This window comes from Homo sapiens, chromosome 2 (assembly GCF_000001405.40).
Source record: "Homo sapiens chromosome 2, GRCh38.p14 Primary Assembly".
Taxonomy (NCBI): Eukaryota; Metazoa; Chordata; class Mammalia; order Primates; family Hominidae; genus Homo; species Homo sapiens.
The window spans coordinates 111,459,235-111,470,026 of NC_000002.12; the positions used below are offsets into that span (position 1 = coordinate 111,459,235).

Here is a 10,792-nt window from a genome sequence, read left to right on the forward strand (position 1 = left end):
ATCATTGTGCAGCACTGAGTTTAAATAAAAAGAGCCATGTTATTGGGCTTAGAATTTAACGTGAAACCCCCATCCATGCAAGCTAAGGGCCAAGGAAGGAATGCCAGCTAGCCTCCTACAGGCAGTGGCTGAAGAGCTGAAAAAACCTAGTGGCCAAGTCAGGCCACGGAGTTCGTTGAGCCTCTGCTGCCCATGGGCCTCCCCGTTCCTGGCATCCTGGGTCAATGGATGGATTCTGACTGTGGAGGCCCCCAGTTCAGCCTCTTTTCATACCCCTGGGGGTTATCTGCAGTGCTGCAGCCCCTTGGTGGGAGCCTCCTTCTTGCACTGGGGACACCCTGGTCCCCCTAAAATCCCACATACCCTGTGGAACTCCAGGGGGGGGATTCTGAATTCCTTAGACACCAGCTCGTTCACTCTCATTTTACAGGTGAAGGGAGCTACTCTCTGTCCAAGCAGATCAGGGCCTCCATGGGCTTGCCTCCCAGGCAGAATTCCAATTTCCTGGTCCATCAGAGGTCCTCACCTGCTCCTCTAGGAGAGAACCCTGATATAAAAGGGAGGAAAGATTCCCCTCCATGTTTCCAGTGCTCATTGGTTATCACTAGCCACAGTCAAGCCTTCTTATGACTCCCAGTCCCATCTGACTTGCTCAGAGCTCTGGAGCCTAACATCCCAGTCTTCCTGAAACACTGCTTAAGCCATGGGATTTTCCTGCTCGAGGACCCACAGAGCTCCCTACTGGCTCCAACACAGAGTTGACATTCTTTGCCCAGGCTGAGAAAGACCTCTGTGGTTTGCTCCTACCCTAAGTATGCAACATTTCCCTCTTCTCATGAATCTCTTTGTGCTTTTATTCAACAAAAATATGTTGAGCACTGGATTATTAGTTTGCTTGAGCTACTATAACAAAGTATTAGAGACTGACAACAGAAATGTATTGTCTCACAGCTCTGATGGCTGGAAGTCTGAGACCAAGTTGTTGGCAGGGTGGTTTCTTCTGAGGCCTCCCTCTCTCCTTGGCTTGTAGATGACCACCTACTTGCTATGTTGTCACGTGGGTCTTCCCTCTGTGTATGTCTATATCCTAATCTCCTTTTTTTTTCTTTTTCTTTTATTATACTTTAAGTTCTAGGGTACATGTGCACAATGTGCAGGTTTGTTACATATGTATACGTGTGCCATGTTGGTGTGCTCTTAATCTCCTTTTATAAGGACACCAGTCATATTGAATTAGAGGCCACCCATATGACCTCATTTTACCTTAATTACCTCTTCAGAGACCCTTTCTCCAAATACGGTCACATTCCAAGGTACTGGAGTTGGGGTGGCACCATACAAATTTGGGATGGGACACAATTCAGCCCTTAACAAGTCCCAATATGATGCCAGGGAATGGGGAAGGGAGGAGAAAAAGGGACATAGAAGGGGACAGAGATGGATAAAACATGGCCTCTGCCCTCAGCAGATGAAACTCTACTGTTCACACAGGAGGACGGCGTGATTTTCTCCTTGCCCACCCCAGCCCCAGCTCCTGCCTCTGTTGGGCAGCCTCTGATGCTTCACTTCCTCCTCTATCTAATCAGTCTTTCAAGGCACAGCCTCATTCCCTTTCTCAGGAGCACCCCCCTACTGGCTTACACTCCCTGAGTCCCTCCTGGACTTCCCTCAAGCGTATCACCTCCTCCCTGTGCTATCCTGACCACCCTGTGAACTTCTCCATGGAGCAGCTACCTGGATGTCTAGTGCAAGGCTGGGCATGGTAGACATCAAGCCAATATTTCCTTCTCATGGGATAAAACATGTTTCTCCTTTCTGCTTTCTGTCTGATAAAAGCCAGCAAACGGCACTGGGGGTGTCTGGTTCCTCCACCACTTGTCTGCGTCTTTCAGATAAATATTACCTATTTCATCGTGTTCTGAAATGCAAAACCTTTCTAGTATCAGTAAGTGAAATCCCCAATCAGCATACCATGATGAAATATTCTTCTAAGTCTCATATTTTTACTCACTTTACGCCCAGAGTTATGTGTGTGAGAGGTGACATTTTACTGTGTGGGACAGGAATGCCATCCTCACTGATGTTAACCATGTCACACTGGAATGACATCTCAGAAGACGAGAAATAACCAGGGGCCTTTAAAACTTAATGCATCTTGAGGCCGGGCACAGTGGCTCACGCCTGTAATCCCAGCACTTTGGGAGACCGAGGTGGGTGGATCACTTGAGGCCAGGAGTTCAAGACCAGACTGACCGATATGGTAAAACCCCATCTCTACTAAAAATACAAAAATTAGCCAGGCGTGGTGGTACACGCCTGTAGTCCCAGCTATTCGGGAGGCTGAGGCACGAGAATCGCTTGAACCCGAGAGGCGGAGGTTGCAGTGAGCTGAGATTGCACCACTGCACTCCAGCCTGGGCAACCGAGCAAGACTCTTATCTCAAAAAAAAAAAAAAAAAACTTAACGTATCTTGAAATGTAAACAAATTATCTTGTTTTACACTTTTCTTTTACTGTCATCAGCAATAAATGCCACCTGATATGTGTATTCAACACTGTGCCCCAGCCCTTTCCTGCTGAGCTAAACATCAGCTCTTAACTTTGAACATGCCCTAGACTCACACAGACAGACCCTCAGAGGTCTTCTCTGTGCTCCCAGAGTGCTTTGTTCAGAGTCTGGTTTAGTGGCATGGTAATTAAGAGTGTGCACATTGGGAGCTAACTGTTTGACTTTAAGTCTACCTGCTGTGTGACTTTGGACAAGTTACATAACCTCTCTGGGCCTCATTTTTCCTCAAAGCCACCAAAAAAGTCACTGAAGGGCATTGGGGGCATCTGGTTCCCAATGTAAGGATGAAATAAGATAATTCAGATAATTAACCTGGCCCAGAAGCTGGAACTTTTTGGCCCCCAGGAAACACGAGTGTTAATATTCACATTACCTTTCCCAACTATCTCCCCTTCCAAACTGTGAACTTCCCCAGGACAAGGGCACTATTCCTTAGGTGCCTGGGACATAATAATCACACAGCTAATGTTTGTGGGAAAAAAAAACACATGCAATGACTCAATTCTACTTTTAAAACTGGCTTTTCCTCCTTATTTTAAAATGTAACTTGCTCACCTTAGGGCCTTAAAAAAATATGTAACAAGAAGAGTAACACAGACCAATTAAAACTTTTAAGTTAACTAAATGAAACCCCCCAGCTCCTGTCTTTGGGCTTCATCCATAGGTTTTCAGGGCAAACACCCCACAAATGCCAAACAGATTTGCACATGTGCTAATTATCTACTTTTCACTGTTTCCCATAAAATAAATACTTTCAAATGCAAAGTTGACTGTGAAAAGTATATTAATTATAGAGAATGAAAAGCAGTACCATGATGTTCATCCTGAGGCCAAATGAACAATGATCAAAACTTCTAACTGAAAATTCCTGGAGAACACCTTCATCGGCAGCATATGCCATCTCCTTGCAGCTCTCCCAGCCAGCACTAAAGCCAGCCTCCAGGCTGTGAGGCTCACCTTAGCCTGAGTCACCATCCCTCACACTTCCTGAGAGTAGTTATGTTTTTATTATCCGGTAATTAAAGATAAAACATAGTATAAATTGAATTATGCATGTAAAAGCATTTGTATTATTTATATCACAAGAGTCCCAATATCATAGAATACATAAATGCTAGAGCCACTTGTGATTTTTGTTATTTACAAAGGCTGATAGGCAGGTGGATTTCAGCATCCCTGCCAACATGGTGGGATCTGAGGCTGCCAGGGTGGGAACCACTCATCAAGGAGAACATTCCCTGTGTCTACCAGCAAAGATCCAGGCCAACTGCTGGCTGAAGAGAGAGCAAAAAGAAACAGGCTATGACGGGCTTCTGCTCTTACAACCCTATAAGGAGTATATATTTTACACTGGAAAATCTGATCCTTAGAGCAAGCCAGTCCTGTATCAGCATATAGTCCTGGTATTGTCCAGAAAAAATAAATCATCTTGCTACTTAGAGACATTAGCTAGCCAAACGCAGTAGAATCTACAAGATCACATAGTATTCAAATTATTATTAACCAAAAATGCCTTGTAGTACTTTAGGGGTACAGAGCAAGCAGAGAAAAGGTGGTGGTCCATGAAGTGCCCTTTGTAACATTCAGAGCTGAGCTGTCCCCTGTAACTGGGCACCATCCCTGCACTGCTCCTTGGGTGTTGGGCTCTGAAACACTCCAGCTGACTCAGAAAATGATTCTCGGTGGGGGATGGAAATCAGGAGCTCTTTATTTTTGATTTTTTTATTTTTTTTGAGATAAGATCTCACTGTGTCACCCAGGCTGGAGGGCAGCAGTGCCATCACAGCTCACTGCAACCTCGACCTCCCTGGCTTAAACCATCCTCCCAACCTCAGCCCCCAGAGTAGCTGGAATTACCATGCCACCACACCTGGCTAATTTGTGTGTGTGTGCACACACATGCGCGCGCGTGTGTGTGTACGCGCATGTGTGTGCGTGGAGATGAGGTCTCACTATGTTGCCCAGGCCGGTCTCAAACTTCTGGGCTCAAGCAATCATCCCACTTCGACCTTCCAAAGTGCTGGGATTACAGGCGTGAGCCACCATGCCTAGCTAAGCTCTTTAGAAATGATTTACTCCCATTTTTTGAAGTTTGCCATGTCACAGAAAATGAGACCCCACTGAGAGATTCAAATGTGCGGGAAGAAAGAACAATGTGTGCTTCTTCACAGGGGGAGAGCAGGGAGCCTGCAGCCCGCCTGAGCTGCAGGTGCTTCAGCTGGTTTCACACTTGCTGTCCCCAGCCCCTGCTCCTGGCCAGACGCCGGCCTCTGTGGGCGGCCCGGAGGGCACCGTGCGTTGGTGCAGGCCTTCGTGGGCAGCAGCGCTGACGTTTGGAAACAAGGCCCCACCCACACAGGCTGGGTTTCAGTTTCACCAGGGAGCAAACACCATTATGCAAATTATTTTCCTTGCTCAACTCCCCATCCCCCATCACTGGCTTACATATTCATTCTTCACTCTGAAGTTAATGTACACAAGAGGCCAACTAAGGATTTGCATCCTATTTACTTTAAAATGCCCAGGTGCAATTTTGAAACAAGATTCTCCTTTCAGAAGGGCAATCACGAATATAAAGTAGAGAATTAGTAGCAGTGTCAAGAGTAAAGCCCCGAGGCTAATACCAAACTTCTAACATAAACGGAGTGTTGAAAGGCACATGCCAGGAATTATATAAACCGAAGGAAAAAGACAACTGGGGGGTGTGTTCCCATGCATTCGATTTGGTCCAAGGAGAGCCAGGCCCACGGAGAGTGGACAGACAGCCTCGGGCCCCTTCAATCCTCGCTACACATGTCAAGAATACCTGGGTCTCATGGGGTTTAGGAAAACGAATGTCTAGTTCACATTCAGGTCACGTTCTAGAAATTAGGGCATGAAGTCATTTTATCTGCATTATGTGTGATTCATTTGCAGTTTAACTCAAGTGATTTGAGGTACCAACTCAGGCAAAAAAATTCTGAACCCAGAAACAGTGTTAGTAAAATTTGTAGGGGGTGGAGGGTGTGGGATGGGGTGCACAAAGCTATGCTTTCCTTTCCTGTCATGATAAATAAATTCATTAGGGATATGTTTATATGAATTTAGACCTGAATAATTCCATGCAGCTGTAATCATTATTTTATTTATGAGATTCAGATAATCGTAGTGAATAATTTTGCGGTTGTTTCTAAAGAGGTCAAGGGTTTCTATCAGCAGACACACAGAAGGAACCATTTTTAGGATGGTAATTTCTATTTCCCTCAAAAACATTCTTCCTTGGTCCCCACTTATACTCAGTTTCATTTTTCAAGGCGGATTGCAAGGTTCGTGTAAAGCTCACAGCTGCAATGAAGTCACTGACAAATCTGTGAATTACCCTGAGTGCAAAGACAAGCTAGTTCATTTATAAACAGCCCTTAAAATAATAGTAAACTAAACTGCAGGTGGGAAACCTTCATAAGATAAAAACTCAGACACACTGTCCCTTCTTGGAAAGCCCTGGATAAGAAGTAAACAATGCCAACAAGTCCCTTAGTGACTTGTCACTCCACTTAAAATGGCCTTTATTAAGAGTGATGACCTCCGCCTTAACTGTAAGACCAACCAACTCAAATGTAAGTCAAGAACAAGAACATATTTCCTTGCAGGGGATTCTGTGCAAACTCATAGATGATTTGCACCTCTGTGAAAGGTCATGGCTAGGAGGCCAGGTTGAGGAAACTTGAACAGCTAAAGTATACCCTGGCTGTCTGCTAACTACCTGCATCCTAATTACCTGTCTGCTATCGCTGTGTGACGTGCAGAGCCATGAGATAGGATCTGTCTTCATTTACAGATCATAAAAAAACAAAGCTTTAGACAGGTTAAGTAGCTTGCCCAATGAAAGCAATTTCTTCTGACCCTTGTGCACAATTATGTCCACAGGAGAACACCATACACATATATTGCCCAACCTTTGAACACCATTTACTCAAGAATGGCTTTCCTTTCCCTGCCATGCACAGGCAGGCTTGTGGTTAGCCAGTCCTTTCTGGTCAGTGTGGATATATCTGCTGGGTTCAGGGGTGTAGGGTTAGGGATCTCACTGTTTCCGCACACCAAAACTGTTCTCCAACAGCTCAGTCAGTAAAAACAGCTGATATCGGGGCAGGGGTGGAGTTCTTGGTTCAGGACTCTTCTAATGTCCTGGACTGCAGAAAAGCCCTTGCCCTTACCCTGGATAAATACCTGAGAATCCTTGTCTCCTTCCCACTCTGTAGGCACTCTTGTCCTCTCCATTCCCTTCCTTGCCTCCTGAGGAGCTTCTGTAGCCCTGGGCTGATGTGGGGAAGGGAGAAGGGTCCCCTGCACCCCTGGGATGGGAACATGAATGAGTCTGCCCACCAACCCCTATGAAATATGCATACCTGTGCTCAAATTATGGGGCCATCAGTTCTGCTAGTCTCAGAGCCCCCTAGGGAGGGCGACCCAGCTTTTACTGGACACCCAGGGACTTTCCCTGGAACCTGCTGTTGTGAGCGTTTCTGAGGTGTAGACAAACAGCTCCCCCACACACCTAGCCAACAACCCACTCTCAAGGTGGGAAACACCATTCTAAGGACTCGCATTAACCCATCTGAATAACCCTGGGTAATCTGGAGCAGAGGTCGAAACCACTGAATGGCTCAGGTACGGTAGAAAATGCCTCTGATTGATTGTTTTGGACATCGCTGCTATTGCAACAGAGAAAGATCAAGCCCCATCACCTAGAAGGGATTTCATTCTTTGCAACAGGAAAGATAGTTCAGAATCCAGCGCCAATTATTCCCAGAAAAAAAATACCATTTGAAACATTACAAATGAAATTGAGTTATATAAACCGCCTTCCTCATCCCTTCCAAGGAGGGTGGATTCTGCGGATGTCAAGGGTGACTGTGGCAGACTGGAAGGGTGGGAAAGAGATCAAATTAGAGAAAACCAAGGGAAGAGCAACTGCCAGCCACCTAGGAAAAAGGAGAGAGGCCTAGGTGACAGGACCCCAAGTTGGAGAGAAAGACACACAGAGGGGTGAGTCAGAGGAAAGCTACAGAAGGGTGTGCTGGGGACAGGCGTCAAGAGGTGAGGCTGCCTCAGGGAGAGGAAGCACGGGAGGAGACCTGGCCCAGGAGAGTTTCAGAGGCTCCACCCAGCAGCGTGCAATAGTACCTCCTCCCCCAAGAAATCAGGATTGTGCAGGAAACACTCTCCTACTTCTCAGTGGCCACTGGAGAGCTCTGAACCCAGCCCAGGGTCAACTGCCCGGCACTGTCAGGCAGTTCCTCTGACTCCACAGTACATTCTAATTGCAGTCACTGTGAGTACACTGGCAATTATGCACCCTGCCCCAAATTCCTAATTGTAGTAGGAAGTTAAACTGGAGCATTTTTTTTTTAAATTGCTCAAACAAGTCTTTAGGAATTTAAATGTATTTATAGAAACGTATGTAAGTATGTTTACATACATTTCTATAAAAATATTCTTGTAAGTAAATGTTATTTATATATACTGCACATCTAATGATGCAATTGGCTTCATGACTTTAGATATTAGAGATTAGGGAGTTTCTTGGTCAGGACAGTCAGGAAGAAGGGAGAGATGCTTAAAGACATTGGCAGAGCTGCATGGTAGAAGTCTGATAGAAAGGGCTTGAGTGAAACCTGGAAAGACAGTTCATTAGGGAAAAGGTGCCTGCTGCCTGTTGGGAGCCAGTGCCTCCCACATAGTGGTGCTCAATGCACTGTGGAACTCAACAGAGCCCTGGCAAAGCACGCTCCGGGACTCACAAATCTGAATGGGTTAAAAGAGAAATAGAAGAATTTGGTCGTGAGAGAAAACAGAACTTCTAGACTTCTATTTTATCTACATTTTCTGTCCAAGAAAAAAATATTAATACTGAGAAGGAGACTGTGTTAGTCAGAGTTCTCCAAAGAAACAGAATCAATTGGATGTGTGTGTGTGGGGGGGGGGGGGGTGGGTGGGTGGGTGTGTGTGTGAGAGAGAGAGAGAGAGAAGGGCGAGGAGGGTAGTGGAGATTGAGTTGTTTAAGGATTAGGTTCCCACAATGGTAAGGGCTGGCAAGTCCAAAATCCACAGGGCAGGCTGGCAGGCAGAGACCCCAGGAGTCCCTGTTGCAGTTTGGGTCAGCTGACAGAATCCAATCTTCTTTGGGGAGGTTCGTCATTTTCTTTTCTTTTTTTTTTTTTTTTTTTGAGACGGAGTCTCACTCTGTCACCCAGGCTGGAGTGCAGTGGTGCCATCTCAGCTCACTGCAAGCTCCGCCTCCCGGGTTCACGCCATTCTCCTGCCTCAGCCTCCAGAGTAGCTGGGACTACAGGCGCCTGCCACCATACCTGGCTAATTTTTTGTATTTTTAGTAGAGACAGGGTTTCACCATGTTAGTCAGGAAGGTCTCAATCTCCTGACCTCATGATCCGCCTGCCTCAGCCTCCCAAAGCACTGGGATTACAGGCGTGAGCCACCGCGCCCAGCCCATCATTTTCTATTAAGGCCTTCAACTGACTGGATGAGGCCCACCCACATTATGACTCTGCTTTGCCAAAATCTACTGATTTAAATGTTAATCTGCTAAAAAGTGCCTTCACAGAAACATCCAGGATAATGTTTGACCAAATATCTGGGTACCATGCCCTAGCAAAGTTGGCACATAAAACTAACCATCACAAAGAGACTGACATTGTGTGGGGCAACTGAAGCCCAGGAGAGGGTGGAGAGTATGAAATGGCATCCAGGTGATGAGAACTGAGTTCTGTTTCTGCCCAGTGACCGGCAGTCCAGCAGTTGGGAGCTGAGCTCTAAGAATCACCACCACAAACTTCTCAGGAGTCCATAAGACACCAGCAATTCTGGTGGCTTAAAGGGCTAGAAGGTGGCTCCGTAAACCCTGAACCTTGTATTTACCTTTGACAAGATTCTAAGATAGATTGCCACAAACATGCTTTAGAAAACCTTAGGAAAGGGGCCGGGCGCAGTGGCTCACACCTGTAATCCCAGCACTTTGGGAGGCTGAGGCGGGTGGATCATCTGAGGTCAGGAGTTCAAAATCAGCCTGGCCAACATGGTGAAATCCTGTCTCTACTAAAAATACAAAACTAGCCAGGTGTGGTGACAGGTGCCTGTAATCCCAGCTACTCGGGAGGCTGAGGCAGGAGAATCGCTTGAACCTGGGAGGCAGAGGTTGCAGTAAGCTGAGATAGCACCATTGCACTCCAGCCTGGGTGACAGAGCAAGACTCCATCTCAAAAAAAAAAAAAAAACCAAAAAGGTAGGTAGTAGTAGGTTATGTACTTTTGGGTACAAAACAAAACAAAACAAAACAAAACAAAGAAACAAACAAAAAAAAACCCACCTAACTTCATAAGTGTAAAATATGAGACTTTTATGTGTGTGTGTGTATGTGTGTGTGTGTGTGTGTGTGTGTGTATTTGGTTTGTTTTTTTGTTTTGTTTTGTTTTTTGTTTTTGAGACAGGGTCTCCCTCTGTCACCCAGCTTGGAGTACAACGGCGCCATCTTGGCTCACTGTAACCTCTGCCTCCCAGGCTCAGTGATCCTCTCACCTCAGACTCCTGAGTAGCTGGGACAACAGGTGTGCACCACCACACCTGGCTAAGACTTTTGTGTTTTGTAGCAGAAATTAATGGGGAAAAATGTTATGGAATTCCGTCATTAACAGAAGTGTATTGTAGCCACCAGCCAAGCAAAGGGCTCCAAGGTGCACTAATAGGGTCTTATAGGGTGGGAGGAGGTGGCCCCTTTCTGCTCTGGGCTGATCAAACCTCACCTGAAGCACCTTACTTCATTCTCAGGTCTACAGTTTTAGCAGGACAGAGGCAGCTTAGAATCTTCAGGGGAGAGTGAGAGACAGTGAGGGAACTTGTTAGGTGTGAGGTGGTCAAAGGAACCCTGGACCTTGGAATATCTTGGTGGAATGTGAAAGGAGGTAGACAGATTGAACCATTTTGTACCGAGGGATGCAGACGGAGGTTGGAATGTGGATGGAGGCTGGCAAGTTTCCAATATACAAACTGTTCAATGAAGACCAAATGTTCAAGCCATCAAAAGAAGGCCGGGGCTGCTGGATCACTGGGGACATCACAGAAGAGTCAAGAGGTTTTCAGGGGCTGCAGGAGATGGTTGCTGGGTCCTCCGTAACTTTGGGCGTGAGTCTAGGAAAGGAATAATAGCTTTGCAGAATGCTACAGCAA

The 10,792-nt window shown here is 46.2% G+C and overlaps 1 long non-coding RNA gene across 8 annotated transcripts in view; it reads right to left on the reverse strand.

The window, feature by feature from the left end:
* MIR4435-2HG (MIR4435-2 host gene) overlaps window positions 1-10,792 on the reverse strand; it is a 299,296-nt gene that overhangs the window by 263,369 nt on the left and 25,135 nt on the right. The gene's annotated exons all lie outside the window — the stretch shown is intronic.